Consider the following 19,564-nt stretch of genomic DNA (forward strand, 5'->3'; position numbering starts at 1 on the left):
TCTGAGAGATACAGTTGCCTTTTAAATAATGAAATTTCTTATGGGACTTTGACTTTTCGTTTTTTACTATGCCTCAGAGACAAGTTCAAGGGACTTTGACATTTCTGGGTTTGGATTTTACTATGTGAATTTCATGAAGCAGAGGCTCAATAATGTTTATTACATTAGTCCATTTGAAACCCCAAATGGCCGTGATTCTCACCAGCCAGTCACTCATTATTCACCTGTCTCCAAACCCTAATATTTTAGAAACATTATTGGCCACAAGGAGAAAGTTGTATCTGGGTTGAAAAAAATGTATATGTATTTTAGGAATGGTAGGTACTGTTTTCTGTGGATAAACCCATAAGCCACAAAACAACTGCAATCGAATTATGTAATTACCTAAGTAATTAGTACCATGCCCATTCTCACTGTGCTCGGTGAGTGGCTGAGACGAATCTGCACTTGAAAATGTTTCTCACCGGCCCCTCCAGTGCAGGTCCAAGCACTCTGGCTTCTCAGTTGCAGCCGTACCAAGGCCTTGCCAGGGAAATGATGAACAGCCTGCCTGCTGGGGTTTTATGACTTTCTAGCCTTAGAACAGTCCTTTATATCCGAGTAGAGCTTCAGATTTAGCATCCAGCTTTGCCAAAGCCACATCAAGGAGACTCGCTTAACCTGAGTGGTTTTCCATCTCTGTCTCCTACATCCCCGAGAAAGGGCTCTCAGGGCTTTCTTGAAAGGAGCACTTGATGAGTCCCTGTGTTCAGCAGCCAGAGTCGCCCTAAGGTGGAACACGATCAAAACTGTTTGGATTGTATTTGCTTTATTATCTGACCATTTCTGATGCTCACACGAACCTTCTAGCCTTCATTCAGTAGGTCTATAAAGGGCTTGGGAAGGAATTTTCCTGCAGGATTTCCTGGTGAGGCTGGGAAGACACATGGATGAGCTCTCAGGAAGTTTGGACCCAATGATGTCATTAAAATCCATCTTGTGCCTTCTTGATTGACTCATTTGAACCAGTGGATAGGCTTTTTTTTTTTTTTTTTTAGCTGCCTATGATTATGTTTTTTTTTTCTTATAAAGTTTGTTAAACTGGTGATTGTATATTTGCATCAAAGAATTTAGGAAATGACAACAGGGAATGGAAAGTTGGAACCATTTGAATGAACATAGAGGATAACAGCTCATTTAACAAAATCTCGGTCTTCCCATGTTGTCATTCTCATGACCCCAGCTAAAGAACCATCTTATTGTGAAATGACTTCCCAGAAGAATAACCTATGTGGGCATCTACCTTCCAGCAAGCTAATATAAATACATATCTGACGTATCTGTTATACAATATGACAAGTAAAGAGATATGTCAGATGAATAAAAAAAAAGAACAGAAACAACTTAAGTTTGCTCAGAACCCTCTTAATCATGAAATTCCAAGATTATCAGAAAGTCCTATAAATACATTTTTAATGATTTTTTTTAAAAAAATGGTAATGGGGTGAGCATATTAGTGCTATAAGTTGCCCTAAATTTTCTGAGAGAAGATGCTTTGCTATTACACTCCCAAGCAATGTCTGCGTATCCTTAATCCCTTTAGATTCCCAGGTTTATTTCATATAGTCTAGGACATTGACATTTATCATTGCTGCTTGAATAAGAATGACTTATTTAATAAGCAAACACAGAGGCAGCCCTTACTTTCACCACTTGAGGACTTTGAAAAGATATTCTTGGGACACCGGTTATCCTGAAATTCTGGTTAACATTTCAGCTCTATGTAGGAAATATTGGACTTGAAGTCAGAAGACTAGGGTTCTAGTCTCAGATACTCATTGACCATTTGACAACCTCATTGGGCACCCGGTTTTTCAAGAAAAGGTAGTACCTCAACATTCCCTAAAACATCAGTCTCTAAATGCTAGTTTCGTGGAACAATAAGGAGTTCTATAACCATATGAATTAAGTCAACCAGGGTTAAAAAGAGCCACAGAAGCCCCTTTTCTGGAAGACTTAAATGTGACTAATGTGATATGTGAGTCTCTAAAAGAGAGTTATAATGTGCAGATTTCCTGAATTCTCAGACAATGGAAACTGTGGAGAAGTATCTCACTGGACTAGCATTACAAGCAAGGGACATATTTTGGAACCTGCCAGACAAGCTGATTTCTAAAAGCCTTTACTGCTTTAAATTCTCTCATCATTTCTGGTTCGCACACAAAAAACCAAGCTATTCTCCAGATACTTTCTACACACCTAGCTCTCAACATTCCTCTCTAAAATATATGACTCTGTTTACTAGTGTAAGGATCAAAAGGATCACATGTGGCTTCCATGAAAAGAAAGGTATCTTAAAATTGTTGTGCATAAAATATACAATTCAAAGGAATTACATAGAGTTATAAATAATAGTTATCATCACTAACCACTCTAAACTAGGACCATCGCAAATGAAACCATTCTTTTAGAAAATAAAAAGATCAATGGTCCATAAGGCGATGCAATGATAAACCACCAAAAAGTCCTGAGATTCTTTCTATGCTAGCCACGTATGAAGAACTCCAAGCCAAACGCTATTCCTTCGGTTGTATTTTTCCTTGAATCTAAAGGACAAAAATAGGGCCTCACAGTTTGAGAGAATCATTCACTTTGTCTAGCAATCAAATGCTTGTGAAAGATAGTAAAAAACGAAGGAAATGAATGGAAAATCACAATGCTTTCTTGAGCTAACTTTTGCAGTTTTAAAGAAATTACAGAGCAGGAGTAAACCATCCTATGAAATTTCAAATGATGACAGACATTTAGAAGCCTGTGTTATTAAAGGCTTTCTTTTATTCTGTTAAATCTTCAATCAGATTTGGTCACAAATAATTGGGATAATTGAACTTATTGCCAAAATACTCATGGAATTAGAAAACTCCCTTAACCAAGGAAGACTCATATAGAAGATCCCACTTGGATTCCCATAAGAGGAAGAAATAGTCTCAGCCATATAGCTTTTTCCCCACTTTCTGGCACAGACTGATACTTTTATTTCATGCTCTCTCCATTGTGTTCATCTCTATTTATATGGATTTTCTTTCTAACCCGCTGGAGTACCTCAAACAAATTGGTGATATTATTACAACTTTAAATTTTTCTGGAAGATTACTTAATAGAGGAAAAGCAGCACAGTACAAGCTAGACAGAAACGTTGAAATTAAACATGATCAGAGCTGCATGTCAGCCTGGGAAATGCGTCCGTCTCAAGTTAAGGTTTACAGTTGCTGCAATTTTAATCAGATTTGTATGTAATAGTATTTCAGAATTTTCCACTGAGTGCTTCTTCTTTTCATTGGAAAAGAAAAGCTTCCCAAACAAAGGAAATTAGGGAACAGAATAGTGGAGTTGGTGTGTGGTTATGTGGCGAGGCCACTGCTCTGCCCATTACCTGCAAGGCGTCTGCCTGCTCCCTGACGTGGACTCAGCTCTGAGTGCTCTCATTTTTCTTTTCTTTTCTTTTTCTTCTTCTTTTTTTTTTTTTGAGACAGTTTTGCTCTTGTTGCCCAGACTGGAGAGCAATGGCGTGATCTCGGCTCACTGCAACCTCCGCCTCCTGTGTTCAAGCGATTCTCCTGCCTCAGCCTCCTGAGTAGCTGGGATTACAGGCGCCCGCCACCGTGCCCAGCTAGCTCTCATTTCTCTTGAAATATAATTGTCATGTGAGTTTCTTCAATCCAAACAATTGGAAACGATAGCCATTGGTAGACACTTTGTTTCCTGTCCAAGACAAGAAACAATTAGCCTCTAACAAGCTCTTTGACCTAGAACTTAATCTTTTAAGACCATGATTTCCCTATATAAAAAGTGAGGATTTGGAACTAAATTATTATTATTATTATTATTATTTTAGACAGAGTCTCGCTCTTGTCTCCCAGGCTGCAGGCTAGAGTGCAGTGGCACGATCTCGGCTCACTGCAACCTCCGCCTCCCAGGTTCAAGTGATTCTCCTGCCTCAGTCTCCCGAATAGCTGGGATTATAGGTGCACGCCACCATGCCCAGCTAATTTTTGTATTTTTAGTAGAGACAGGGTTTCACCATGTTCGCCAGGCTGGTCTTGAACTCCTGACCTCAGATGATCCACCTGCCTCGGCCTCCCAAAGTGCTGGGATTACAGGTGTGAGCCAGAGTGCCCGGCCTTGAACTAAATTATCTTAATTGTCCCTTCCATCTCTATAAATCTATGAGTCTCTAACTTGATGACAATTTCCCAAAGTTAACCAAAGTTATGCAATTGGTTTTCACTCTTGCAATCATTTCTAACTAAAAGACTAATCAATATAAAAAGTACAATTTAAAGCAATCTGCCAGATTTAAGGAAGAAATAGAAGTGACATTTACTGAGGGCCAATCTTATGTCAAGTACTGGAATAACCACTTTATATAAGAGATATATATAGATAGATAGATAGATAGATAGATAGATAGATAGATAGATAGATATATGGCAAGAACCACCTCAGGTAAGAATCATCATCATCATCACCATCACCATTTCATAGAGAAGAAATACTTAGAGAAGTTAAGTCTCTATCTAAATATAGTTAATTAGTAAATAGCCAAGATAGGAGTCAAACCCAGTTTATTTCCCAAAGTCATGCACAGAACCTGGGCACTTTACTGGCTATAGCATTCTGCTTTGAAGTGTACACTGTTTTGCTTCACACTCTTCATACTCTTCAAGTCATTTAAGTTTTCTGAGCTTTATTTATATTCATTATTCATTCAACCCGTAACAAGCAAGTCCTCATGTACAGCAGGTACTGTAATTGATATTGCGATACAGAGGGGACTATGATACAGAAACTACCCACAAAGAACTCAGCATTTTGTAGAGGAGTTGGACAGGAAAAGGAACACAATGTAGTCAGCATTATGAGATGTATGAGACAGGTATGCCTGAGGTGTGAAGAAGGGGGATCTGGGAGTAGAGACTGGGAAAATGAAAATCACTTCCTATGAGAATAATGAAAAGTGGAGGAATATCTGAATTGGCCCTTAAAGAACTAATAGAAATGAGCTAGCTGTGAAAAGGTTGGGAAAAGGAAAGGCATTCTAGCCAAAGAGAACAGATCAGTTTAGCGGTCTGTGAGGGCATTGCATGTTCTGAGAATTGAAAGTAGGTCTCTGTAGCTAAAGCACACAAGGCATGATAAATACTTGGAGCTGAATCTGGAAAACTCTACAGTTGAGAAGCCCTTGGTATCTCATGCTAATGTTATAGAACTCTATCCTGAAGAAACGAGGGAGTCCTTTGAGAATTTTAAGCATAATATATTTATGTAATAAGAAAGTCCCATCAGAAGCACTGAGGAGGCACAACTGGGACAAGGGGAGTAGGTGGCTCTGTGTAGAAGTAGGACAAAGTGATTGGCATCTAGCAGTACACACAGCCTCCCACAAAGTCAAAGAAAGAATCAACAATTGGGATAGAGGAGCAGTTGGATCTGAGAGATATTTGGAGGATGGGTGGGCAAGACAGAAAGGATTTTGGTGGTTGAACAGATATTGAGATACCATTGGCTGTGCCTCCAGGGTTTCTGATTTGGCTGATAGAATGGATGGTGACTGCTTCCATTATTGGGAAACTAGTCTACAGAAAGAGGGGACGATTGTGACGAGAGCCTCAATTCCATCAGGAGCATGTCATTTTTGAGTTGCCTGTGACGTTTAGTTCACATGGAAAAATGTTACTACTATTAAATATGTAAGGTAAGACCTGGTGCTACTTTTGGTTGATATGTATTTGTTGGAAAGGCAGAGTTGCAAACAGATAACTTGAATCAAACGTGGAAAATGCACCAAAATAGTTATGAATGGGCTAGTCCTGAAATTGAAATTAGCTTAACCTTATGGTGTTGAATAAGGAAGCAGGGACAAACCTGAGAAAGATCTTGAAGAAAGTGCAGATGATGGACAATTCAGGAAGAGAGGTGTGAGGCATCTCAGGGAGGAGGACAGCATGAGCAAAAAAATAGAGCATACAAAATGTGAGAAAAACAATCAGTTTTCACTGAAACATAAAAGGGAAGGCAGGGACAAGGTCATGGAGAAATCTACATATGTGCTACTCAATAGATTGGATTTTATGTCAATTATGAGGAACCCTGAAAGGGTTCTGCTCTAAGAGAGACATCACATCTGCAGTTAAGAGAGTGCAAAAGGCCGGGTGCAGTGGCTCACGCCTGTAATCCCAGCACTTTGGGAGGCTGAGGCGGGCAGATCACGAGGTCAGGAGATTGAGACCATCCTGGCTAACACGGTGAAACCCTGTCTCTACTAAAAATACAAAAAAAAATTAGCTGGGCATGGTGGCGGGCGCCTGTAGTCCCAGCTACTCCGGGAGGCTGAGGCAGGAGAATCACTTGAACCCAGGAAGTGGAGCTTGCAGTGAGCTGAGATCTTGCCACTGCACTCCAGCCTGGGCGACAGAGCGAGACTCCATCTCAAAAAAAAAAAAAAAAAAAAAATGCAATACTATGGAAGATGAACTGAAATGAGGAAAAGCTAAAATGCAGGAGACTAGTTAGGAGGCTACTGCAATCACCCTGGTAGGAAAAAGTGAGGGCCTGAACAAGGCATTGGTGTATGGGCGGGAAGAAGGGACAGAAACATGTTGAGGAAGCTAGAACCTTTGGGTTTCGAAAATTTGGTGACGCCAGATACTTAGCTACCAACTGAGGGAAGAAACACAGCAGGACGAGTGGGTCTGGAGAGGAAGGGAGAGATGATCTGTCTGTTTCTGTATGTTGATCATTGAGGTATATCTGAGTAGAGACATCTAGTAGTTATTATATAAATCTGAACTCCAAGAGAGGACTCTGTGTAAGATGATAGATTTGAGTCTATAACATAGAGCTATTAGTTAAATATAATTATAAAGACAATAATAATAAAATTATAGTTGTGAGCACTTAGTATAGGCATTGAGTAATACTTTACATTACTGTGTATGTTATATCCATTATACCCACGATAACAATCTGAGTTGATATGAACACTTCCCTTTACAGAGGTGATAACTAATACTTAAAGAGATTATGCAACTTATCCATAGTTGTGTTGTTAGTAAAAGTGAGTGGAGAGCTGAGCTTTGTTCAGGTTCTCAAAACCAGTTTTGTGTTTGTTTTTGTTTTTTAACTACAACATTTCTTTGAGTTTGTAAAGAAGAAAGATAGTACAAAGGAGAGATTGTGAAAAAAAATTTTAAAAAGCCAAGAATGACATCCTTGGTAAACCAATGTTTAAAGGACGAATGTGAGAAAGAAATATTGGCCAGGCACAGTGGCTCATGCCTGTAATCCCCACATTTTGGGAGGCCGAGGCAGGGGGATCACTTGAGGTCAGGAGTTTGAGACCAACCTGGCCAACTGGTGAAACCCTGTCTCTACTAAAAATACAAGAATTAGCCAGGTGTCACGGTGCATGCCTGTAATCCCAGTTACTCAGGAGGCTGAGGCAGGAGAATTGCTTGAACCTGGGAGGTGGAGGTTGCAGTGAGCCGAGATTGTGCCATTGCACTCCAGCCTAGATGATAAAGGGAGACTCCATCGCAAAAAAAAAAAAAAGAAAGAAAAAAGAGAAAGAAATATTTATACCAGATACCCTGAGTAAAAAGAGAGAAAGACAAGCCTAGTCAAGTCTCCCATGAAAACCAACAGAAAGACGATCCCAAGAAGTAGGGAATGAGCCAGTGTCAGCTGAGTCAAGTGGAGTAAGATAAAGACTGAAGTGAGCCCTCTGAGTTTGGGAACACGTAGGACCTGACTGCAAGCAGGTTTCACTGGAGCAGGTGTCACAGAAGCCAACTTGCAAGGAGCTGAAGACTGGTAAGACAAGAGGAACTGGAACCACAGTACCTTCAATTTCAAGAAATTTGATTAAGAAAAAAAGCCCTCAATTATGGCAGTTAGAAGGAAGGCAGCTCCAATGGAGATAATGTATTATTCATTCACTTACTTATTTGGATGGGATATATTTAAATATATTTTTAAAGCTAAGGACGAACACATAGCTGAAAGTGTGAGGTTTAAAACATATGAGTAAGGGAATATAACAAATCCTGAAGTAAGGTCTGATAATTAAATGGGAAGAAAGGGTCATGCAGCCAAGCACACAGGGGGATGCAGTGACCTTGAATTGGCCAATGGTTAATTTGTCTCTAACCCTAAAGAAAATGTGCAGGGATGGAAGGGTAAATTGGTATGAAGAGGGATAAGCAGTTGCTATTCATACCTGGGCAATTTGATTTTCTCAGTCCAAGAGGGGGATTGGTAATTGTTCCTCGGATGGGGAAACATGACATGTGAAAAATATGGGTCAGGAGTTTAAGACAAAATGGCAGCGGGGGCTGTAGATCTGGAAGCCATCTGTAGAGTTTAAGACAAAATGGCAGCGGGGGCTGTAGATCTGGAAGCCATCTGTAGAGTTTAAGACAAAATGGCAGCGGGGGCTGTAGATCTGGAAGCCATCTGTAGAGTTTAAGACAAAATGGCAGTGGGGGCTGTAGATCTGGAAGCCATCGGTAGCTACGTGCATGGGGATAAGGTCTCTGATGCATAATGTGAGATTTAAAAGAGGCAAATGTTGGATCTTGAAGAAAACTGCTATTTGGGCTGAACAGAAGATAACAAACCTTCAAAGAAGACAGGGAGGTTTGGAAGGAGGAGTACCACAGAATCCAAGCAAAGCAAGAATACTAAGCAACTAAATTCTGACCAAAGTGAGATGCTGACATACTAAAGAAGATAAACTGGAATGACCAATTAATTCCTAAGACTTAGATACATTAGTGAAAGCACTTTTAGTTGTGCTGTAGTAAGATAAATTAAATACAGATTTTTTTCCCCAGAAGCCAGAATAGACCTGTAGCCTCCTTGCCTCCCTTCCTTTACCTTTAAAAATTTTAAACTTGAAATGGAAGCTATTTGAATATATTTAAACACTGTGAGCAAACAAATAACTAAATAAACAAAAGCAAAATATAGGGGAAATGTAAAAGTAGAGGAAGGAAAGAAAATGCTGGACAAAATTAGTTATCTTTCTTTGAGATAGAAAATAAAGAGAAAAATATAGTTAGTTGTGGAGGGAGATGAGTTTTAAGGAGCAAGGAATTCCTGCCTGGTAGCCTCTCTGTTCTCTGAAGTTGTCTACCCAGAGAACACAGAGATGGACACTTAAGAAGTGTAGTAGATGCAAAAAACAGCACTGACAAAAAAAGAGGGGGAAAGGAGTTGATGCCTAAAGAAACAACAAAAGGAGTTCAGGCCGGGCACGGTGGCTGTAATCCCAGCACTTTGGGAGGCCGAGGTGGGTGGATCACCTGAGGTCAAGAGATCAAGACCATCCTGGCCAACATGGTGAAACCCCATGTCTACTAAAAATACAAAAGTTAGCCGAGCATGGTGGCGCGTGCCTGTAATCCCAGCTACTCGGGAGGCTGAGGCAGGAGAATCACTTGAATCCAGGAGGCGGAGGTTGCAGTGAGCCGAGATGGCGCCACTGCACTCCAGCCTGGCAATATGGCAAGGCTCTGTCTCAAAAACAAACAAACAAACAAACAAAAACACTGAGTAAGCCCTGCAAAAAGTGAAGGTATATTACTCTTTTATACAAATATAATATATTAATCATACATACCATGCAAAATATCCATTATTTAAACAATAACTTTCATAATGTCCTGTAGAACCTTGCTTCAGATCTTGAACCCTGAAAATGATTGGCAGAATGCCATGCCCATTTAAAAAACCCGAGTTTTGCTTTATTAAAACTAAAGAAACACTGAAGCTCGTTAAATTTCATGTTTGAAACAATAGAATTCAAAGTAATGACAGTCAATAAATAGAGGAACAAGTCAAAGTAGGATTGTCTAGAAAGCAAAATTTCTTGACCACGCTGATCTTAAATTTAGTTACTCTTATTATCTATAAGCTAACCTAAAACGTTCAGGAGTTCAGGTTAGATGCACCCCTCAAATGCTATGACTGGTGGCTTTGTCTTGACTCACACTTTTTACCCTTTTTAAACTTTCTTCTTAGCTCCTTCGTGATTGATTGCTTCTCTAACAATGCCAACCCTTTCAGTAACCTGGGAAAAGGTTTAAAACACCATGGAATCATCCAGTGATTTCACCTGCCTGCATTTGTATTAAAGACATGTAAAGACTTTCTAGAGGCCAGGTGCGATGGCTCACGCCTGTAATCCCAGCACTTTGGCAAGTGGAGGTGGGTGAATCACTTGAGCTCAGGAGTTTGAGACCAGCCTGGGCAACATAGTGAGACCTTTGTCTCTCCAAAAAAAAATAATAATAATAATACAAAAATTAACCAGGCATGGTGGTGTGTGCCTATAGTCCCAGCGACTTGGGAGACTGAGGTGGGAGGATCACTTGAGTTCAGGAGGCGGAGGTTGCAGTGAGCCAAGATCGTGCCACTCACTACCCTCCAGCCTGGGCGACATAGCCAGATACTGTCAAAAACAAACAAACAAACAACAAAAAACTTTTTAGAACCATGTTTGGTAAACTGTATGTACTCGACTAATACCAATTATTTACAAAATATTAAATTGAGTGAAATACTACGTGTGGGTGTCTCTCCCAAAATGAATCAGAAACTTGGCACATTGGCTACAAATGCTTTGAAATGTCTCTCAAATGAACAATTTCTAGATATTGCATTTTAGAAATGAAATAACAGCATCAGATAATTGGCAGCCAAGTCATTTTCCCAAGTACTGATGCCAAGTACATGGCAGACATCCACCATGGGTTGATGTAGATCAAAAAGGGCTGAGACACCATCTCATGCTTATAGAATTTCAGAATTAGAGACATTAGGAAGGGGAAAGTCAGCATCATTTGCCATGTTAAAGCCAAGCCTTGTGCACTGAGCAACTTTTCCTCACTAGCCAGGCCCCCATCATTCCATTCTTACTTACCATCCCTTATGGATTTCTTATAAAAGCCCTACACATGCCAAATTGGTCAAAACCCTGCCTCGCTGCAGTTATAATGGCTGGCTTGTGGTCTTCCTGGTGGTGACAAGTCTCTTTGCTATGATGTGCCCAACCAGCCAGGATTTTATCCCCTACTCAGGATCCACTCCATGAGCTTGCATGAGTGACCCATCTAAAATTAAACAAAAGAGGAAAATGTGTACCTACTACTTTGAGATGAGAGGGGAGCCACACATCTCTTTCCCTTCCTGGACAGCCCCTTCCCAGAGCCCTAATTTTTCTTCTGTTATTAGATTTTACTATACCCTCTGATCATTCAGAACATCAGGCTTCTTAACAAAAGAGATTTCTGAGTTGAAATACAGTTTTTAAAATGCATAAGCATTTCTGGGACTTTGAAAGCCTCGAAATAACGTATCCAGGCTCTCTGGAACTCATAATCCATATACACATGAAGAAATGACTTGGAGCTAATAGTAGGTAGAAGGAGGAAAAGGGCAATTGACTCCTCATGTTCAACTCTGGGTAACACGGATGAAGTGGAGATTTTAAACTGCAATGTTATTGTAAATTTTCCAGTAATCTACATCTCTGAATTGCAAATACTGGAAACCAATTCTGCCTTCCTGCTTCACACTGACAGCAACACTTTGCTTGCCCACATCTGAGACCTTGTGGCTTTTGATTCATTCTGTTGTTGATGCCTCCTCTTTTGTTTTCTCAAAATGTAAATATTTGTTCTGTCTGCATTCTAATTGCTAGTCTTGGTGTCTTATTGAGTATGAGGGCTGCGGTAACTCAGATGCCTCAGGATCCCTTGCTATGTGCTGAGATTTTCTGTCTTATGACATTAGCTTGGCATAGCTGACAGCCACTCTGTTCCTATACCCCTGACTAAATTGCAGTTATGTCTTTAATTGAAACCTAGTATTATTTTATTCCTCTCTGCAGAGAGGAAACCCAGAACTATCATTCTGTACACACACCAAACCACAGGAGCCTGAGTGAGGGTCCGTAATGACAGAGCCTCCTACACAGCACATTTGCTAGCTTTCTACTAATTGCCCTAATTTTCTTTGTCTAGACTAACTTATTGCATTGAAGAGCTCCTTCTCCAAAAGGGGGCATAAAGGAACATCGTGAGTCCTTCAATTGCTGCCAAGTGAAGAAGGGAGAAAAACATGGCTAGGACCAAGAAAACAAACAAAACAGGATCAGGGGATTTGTCCTTGAATGGGCTGTTTCCTAGAGCACATATTGATTTAAAACTGAACTGAGAGATTGTGTTCTAGTAAGACTGGAATCACTACCATTAACAGCAAAGAACACAAACAGCATGTAAGTCAAAAGAAGAATGGTACTTCTTTTTTTTTTTTTTGAGATGGAGTCTCACTCTGTCGCCAGTTTGGAGTGCAGTGGCACGATGTAGACTTACAGCAACCTCTGCCTCCTGGGTTCAAGAGATTCTCCTGCCTCAGCCTCCTGAGTAGCTGGGACTACAGGCATGCATCACCACGCCCAGCTAATTTTTGTATTTTTAGTAGAGACAGGGTTTCACCATGTTGACCAGGGTGGTCTTGATCTACTGACCTCGTGATCTGCCTGCCTCGGCCTCCCAAAGTGCTGGGATTACAGGTGTGAGCCACCACGCCAGGCCGCATAATACTTCTTAAAAGAAGACAGTTACTAAGGAGAGAGATGGCACTCATCAATCAGTTTGTCGCCTTCCAGCATTCTGGACCAGAAGTCTCCTGTGTTTGTTCTGCTTTTGTGGCACCTTCCTAGTTTGGCTTTCCAGATTGAAAGAATCTGGAATACCCTGTGGAATACCCTGCCTTCTCTTTGGCTCACACCAATGGTGAATACAAAGAGAAATTTAATATCTTGGCCATAAACCCTTTTGAAACTTCCCTGGGATAAAAGGGTGGGATCCGTATGAATAACTGCAGGTTGCCTTTTCACCGTTCTTAAAAGTCTGAGTCGAAATGAAGGTTGATGCTTCCAGATTGCATGGCCTCAGAACTAGGGAGAGGAGCCCCACAGGGTCCATGGATTGACCCAGTGGATTGAAAGACCACTGGGCAAGGCTGGTCCATCCTGGGCTGGAGCTGCCCTTCAGTTCAACATGCCAAAGCCTTGGGAACAATGGGACTGGCCAGGGGCCCTAGAAAAAGGGCCAAGAGTCCTTTGCTTGCAGGACATTCTCTTTAGCCAAATTCTCCAGTGCCTGCTGACTAACTCACTTCCCACTTCTCTTCTGTTAACTACGTTACATTTTCTCCTGTACTTGCCATGTTCAAAGACTGATTGATTTCCTAGAATGTGATGATGGGTTTCATTTTACTGCTGTCTTTTGTGTCAATTATGTTTCCCTTGATGGATCAACTTTTCTGTTTGGTTGCGTTAACTCTCAGTGGGCCAAAAATTTCATGGGTTTTATTTCCCTTGGATTTTTTTTTTCATGTTTACACATTGCACATGGTAAGAATTTTTTTTTTGAAGTAAGTATACTGATGAATTCTCAAACTGGTTATAAATTGAAGAACTGATGCAATGTATTCTTTCCAGCAAGACAAGCAAGTGGCTTGGATTTCTGTTTCTAAATCTGAGGGAACCACTCAGGCAAAAGTCATAAAGGGCCAGTTTGTGTCACTGGTCCTAGGCTGAGTGCAGAGAATCCAGAATGGCAGTGCACAGTTGGCTGCGAGCAATGCCATCACTGTCTTTATCACTCCTATCTCCACGTCTCTACTCTGTACTCCATTTCTGGGAGAGGAAATGATATATTGATGACATTAATGGTTTTAAACTGGTTGTGATTTTGCCCCTCAGGGGACATTTGTCAATGTGTGGAGGCATTTTTGGTCATCACCACTATGACGGCTGCTACTGAAATCTAGAAGGTCGAGGCCAAGGAGGATGCCGAACATCCTGCAATGCACAAGACAGTCCTCCACGACAAAACACCATCCTGTCCCTTGTCAACAGCATCAATATTGAGAAACCATAGATTAGATGTGCTACCTGATCACATCTCTCCAGACCTGTGGAATTCAGAGGTATCTCTAACAAATCCACAGTAATTGATTCAGCATTTTAATTTCTAAGGAGCTGAGCCGGGCACGGTGGCTCACGGCTCACGTCTAATCCCAGTACTTTGGGAGGCCGAGGTGGGCAGATCACTTGCGGCCAGGAGTTCGAGACCAGCCTGGCCAACATGGCGAAACCCCCATCTCTACTAAAAAAAAAAAAAAAAAAAAAATTAGCTGGGTGTGGTGGTGCGCACCTGTAGTCCCAGCTACTCGGGAGGCTGAGGCAGGAGAATCGCTTGAACCCAGGAGGCGGAGGTTGCAGTGAGCCAAGATTGTGCCCCTGCACTCCAGCCTAGTGACAGAGCGAGACTCCATCTCAAAAATAAATAAATAAATAAATAAATAAAAATTTCTAAAGAGCTGATATATTTTTCTCAGAAGGCTTGATCACACTTTGGATTTTTTTTTCACTCAGTTTTGACAGAATTTGAATTATCTGATGGTTTGGCATAAGAAGATTATGAATCAAGCTTATCTGCAATAAAACTTTGCTATGCTTCTGATTTGAGACAAAGATACTGTAATGTTTTGTGCTTGGCAGGTTTTTATCTTGCAAGATATATTAAAGCCTCCTAGTACACTGAAGATTCTTGGAAAATTATTGATCCTCTCTGAGAAAGAAAGAGCTCTCTCCACTCTTAGAAGTTCTGTAAGATCCCACCAAAAAATATCACCTTCTTTGTGAAGCCTCTTACTTTCCTTCCGACCCATTGTCAAGATCCCACTAAAATATCAATTCCTCTGGGAAGCCTCCCAAAATGTCCTAGGCTGCTCTCCTTCTGAGGTTTCAAAAGCATTTCCTCGATCACTCTGTCATGATTATTTGACTATTATTTTACATCCCCCATCAGATTGTGGATCACCTAAGGCTAGGGCCAGGCTTGCTTCACTGAAGACTGCTCTACGGCCTAGGACAGTAATCAGAGAAAATGCACTGTAAAATGTGTTAGGTAATCTATTAGTCTGTCGTCATGCTGCTAATAAAAAGACATACCTGAAACTGTGTAATTTATAAAGAAAAGAGGTTTAATTTACTCACAGTTCCACATGGCTGGGGAGGCCTCACAATCAAGGCAGAAGACAAATGAGGAGCAAAATCACGTCTTACATGGTGGTAAGCAGGAGAGTTTGTTCAGGGGAACTCCCATATATAAAACCATCAGATCTGGTGAGACTTATTCACTACCATGATAACAGTAGGGGGGAAACCGCCCTTGTGATTCAATTATTTCCACCTGGCCTTGCCCATGAAACATGGGGATTATTACAATTCAAGGTGAGATTTGGGAGGGGACACAGCCAAACCATACCAGGTAAGGAGTCTAACAATTCCCACAAAAAATTCTATTTAGTTTTAGGAACAAAGCATACCTTTTAAAAAAATTGATGTAAACACAAAATATATCATCAAGGGCAACTTACTATATTAAACCTACCTTGACATTGATCTTTTATAGAAATTACTAAGTAATTATATTTCAAAAGGGATTGATATACAGGCCTAACGCTATTTTTGACACTTGATATCTTAAGAGAAATGCCCTATATAATGTGAGACTATTATAATTTTAAAAGTATATTATTTGTTTTTCAATGGGAACAAGCACAGAACTAAAGGGTGACCCTCCATACCTGTGGGTTCCACATTCATGGGTTCAACCAACCTCAGATCAAAAATATTAAGGAAAATTCCACAGTTATAAAAATCAAAACTTGAATTTGCTGTGCCTCAAGTACTACCTTGAATCCACACGAATGAAGTGATGTATAGACACTGTACTAGCTATTATAAGTAATCTAGAGATGGTTTAAAGTAGAAGAAAGACTGTGCATAGATTATATGCAAGCACTAGGCCTTTTTTTTTTTTTTTTGAGACAGTCTCGCTCTGTCGCCCAGGCTGGAGTGCAGTGGCGCAATCTCGGCTCACTGTAAGTTCCGCCTCCTGGGTTCACGCCTTTCTCCTGCCTCAGCCTCCTTAGTAGCTGGGACTACAGGCACCTGCCACCACGCCTGGCTAATTTTTTGTATTTTTAATAGACGCGGGGTTTCACCATGTTAGCCAGGATGGTCTCGATCTCCTGACCTCATGATCTGCCCGCCTTGGCCTCCCAAAGTGCTGGGATTACAGGCGTGAGCCACCGCGCCTGGCCAGTACTAGGCCATTTTATATGAGAGACTTGAGAATCTACTGATTTTGGTATCATTGAGAGATGAGGTCCTGGAACCAACCCCAATGGATACAAAGGAACAGGTGTATTCAAAATGCTCCAACTGTGTCTTCAAAAACTCTTTATATCAATCAAGGCTATGTGATTCCTATTTATAAGAAAAACGATTTCATTCCTCTGTTTTTAGCCCTTTTCAAAGCCGTCCACACCTCTTCACACATCTCTTTCACTTCATTTCTTTTGTGATCTTTGGAGTTTCAAAATATGTGTTTTTAGTATCTTGACTGCTACTACTCTGTTCCCTTTCTCTATCTACAAAGCCAATGTTGTTTTATGTATAATCTACATATGTGTTTCAAAGAACTCAACTATCAGGCCTCTCTGGATCTTCTCATTCCTCTAGTCTGTGAAAAGTTATATAGTTCTCAAAGTTCAAAACTAAAGTTTCCTACACCAATTCATTTCACAAAGAGAAAAAATAAGATCAAATGTTATTGTGATATTGTGAAATACATATTTGGTCCTCCACCTAGTTTCCTGAGGCACAGCTCCTAAAATCTTTGGGCTCCTCAAAATGATAAGGATCTTTTTGTCTGCTGATGTTGTCTGATGGCTGGAGGCTCCCAGATAGCTTCAGGATGGTGGCTGGTCAATGGAAAGACCACAGCAGGATTAGAGGGTTGGGACTTTCAGCCCCATCCTCCAACCACTGGGAAAGGGAGAGAGGCTGAAGGTTAAGTTGCTCTCCAATAACCAGCGACTTAATCAATCATGCTTCTGTAATTAAGCCTCCGCAAAACCCCCCAAAAGGGGTTCTGAGGGCTTTCGGATAGTTGGACATGTGGAGTTTCCTGGAGATTGGTGCCCAGGGAGGGCATGGAAGCTCCACGCCTCTTCGTGCGTGCCTTGTCCTATACGTCTCTTCATTTATGTCCTTTAGAATAAACCAGTTAAACGTAAGTAAAGTGTTTCCCTGAGTTCGGTGTGCTGCTCTAGCAAAATTAGTTGACTAATTGTAACTAAAATTGTACAAATTGTACAAATTGTACAAAATTGTAACTAAAGGGTCAGGAGCACAGGAGCACAGGTAAGACAACATAGGACTTAATGCTTGGCATCAGAAATGGGGTATCGTCTTGTGGGATTCTGAGCCCTCCCCTCACCCTATGGGATCTGATGCTATCTCCAGGGAGACAGCGTCAGAACTGAATTGAGTTAAAGGACACCCAGTTGGTGCTCACTGCAGAACTGATTGCTTGCTTGGTATGTGGGGAAAAGCCCCACACGTCTGGCGTCAGAGTATAACATTGAGCAACTGAGTGACAGTCGAAGAGGAAGAGCATATTTCAGTTGTTTTTTTCCTTTGTCTTCGGATTCTATATCCCTTTGGTGCATCCGGAGCACCCCTGCTTTGCATAAAATGAAACAAAAAACCTAAGTTGTTTAATTAACCAAGTAATGCAGATTAGTTATTATTTTAAGGATGAATAAATAATGTTTAATACAGAATGGATTAATTAACAACGGTTAATTTTCTTGCCAATTTCTCCACAGACTCTTCCAATTTCTCTAAGCAGAATTTGTTGCTGGCCAGGCACGGTGGCGCATGCCTGTAATCCCAGCACTTTGGGAAGCTGAGGCGGGCGGATCACTTGAGCTTAGAAGTTCAAGAGCAGCCTGGCCAACATGGTGAAACCCCATCTCTACTAAAAGACACAACAAAAATTAGCCAGGCATGGTGGCACATGCCTATAATCCCAGATCCTTGGAAGGCTGAGGCAGGAGAATCTCTTAAACCTGGGAGGCAGAGGTTGCAGTGAGCCAAGATCGCGCTACTGCACTCCAGCCTGGTTGACAGAGTAAGGGAGACTCAGTCTAAAAAAAAAAAAAACAAAGAAAGAAAATTTTGTTGCTTATTCATTTGCATTAACCACTTTGTGTATGTCTTACAACTCCACTCACACCCAGTGCTACACTCACACCCAGCACTAGAGGATGGGAACATGGGCATGTCACTACAAGGTCATCACTCCTCAAGGGCAAGACTTTATCATATTATCTCTGCCTCCGCCATGTTCCTACATAGAGTTTTGCACATAACAAGCAATCTATACGTAGTTGTTAGATTGAACTAAATTCTGTAGAGGTATGGACTACAGAGAAGATTGCAAATGATACTAATTGTATCTGTATTTTAAAGATGTACATCAGTTTCAGAGTTTTAAAAATATACTGCAATGTGTTAACACTGTCCATGGTATCTTTTGGGAATGAGAGAGAAAATGAAATTTTTATCTCATTGAAAGAGTTGTCAAAACAGCCAAGTGTATTAAACTTTACTAAATGCTAGCATCTTACATGTCAGTAACACGAAGAGGTAACTCGTTCTTCAAGGGCTTATCACTTAGTAAAAAAAAAAGAATGTTTGCTTACATGTATAAAAATACATAGCAACATGGGATATCACATGCAAATTCCCAATGGAAGAGAATAGACGATTAGTGCTGCAGGAATTCAGACAAGAGAGAAGACACTGAAGACCGAGAACATTGTAGGTGGCCTAATAAGGGATGTGGTGCCTGGCCTGGCCTTAACAGGAAGGGAGGGATTTACAGTAAAGGCTATGCTAGATGGAGAAGGGTATTCTTGGCAAGAAGGGTGAAGGAATGCTTTGGAATCTTGAATGCACATAGCCCAGTTACAAAAGAAGGAGTAGATGGGAGAAGAGTCTTTTGATGTAAAAATATGAATGGAGGCCAGGCACGGTGCCTCATGCCTGTAATCCCAGGGCTTTGGGAGGCCGAGGTGGGCGGATCACGAGGGCAGGAGATCAAGACCATCCTGGCTAACACTGCGAAACCCTGTCTCTACTAAAAATACAAAAAATTAGCCAGGCGTGGTGGCGGGCGCCTGTAGTCCCAGCTACTCAAGAGGCTGAGGCAGGAGAATCGCTTGAACCCGGGAGGTGGAGGTTGCAGTGAGCCGAAATCACACCGCTGCACTCCAGCCTGGGCGACAGAGTGAGACTCCATCTCAAAAAAAAAAAAAAAATATATATATATATATATATAGATAGATAGATAGATAGATAGACAGATAGATATGAATGGAAGTTCTAAAGATGGATGTGAAGAGGGAGTAGAGGTGGAGAAGAGGAGATTCAAACTTTTAAGAATCTCCAATGCCAGACAAAGAAACCTGGATTTGATCTTGTAAATGAAAAGCTTCTTAGCACAGCACTGATGTGCATGAAGAGGTGTCTTAAGAATATTAATATGGTAGTTTAGGGGGAAATCTGGGAACAGAAATACCCTTGGGAGAA

At 41.0% G+C, this 19,564-nt stretch overlaps 1 protein-coding gene across 4 annotated transcripts in view; it reads right to left on the reverse strand.

The window, feature by feature from the left end:
- Window positions 1-19,564, reverse strand: part of GREM2 (gremlin 2, DAN family BMP antagonist) — a 122,583-nt gene that overhangs the window by 38,650 nt on the left and 64,369 nt on the right. For 2 of the 4 annotated variants that reach the window (XM_047427832.1, XM_047427839.1), the window contains one exon: window positions 3,413-3,741. The exons of the other annotated variants lie outside the window; for them this stretch is intronic. In XM_047427832.1, the coding sequence (XP_047283788.1) occupies window positions 3,413-3,465 (53 nt within the window). In that variant the 5' untranslated portion in view covers window positions 3,466-3,741. The remainder of the gene's footprint in view (window positions 1-3,412; window positions 3,742-19,564) is intronic. 4 annotated transcript variants of the gene reach the window in all.

The sequence above is a fragment of the Homo sapiens genome, chromosome 1 (assembly GCF_000001405.40).
Source record: "Homo sapiens chromosome 1, GRCh38.p14 Primary Assembly".
NCBI lineage: Eukaryota > Metazoa > Chordata > Mammalia > Primates > Hominidae > Homo > Homo sapiens.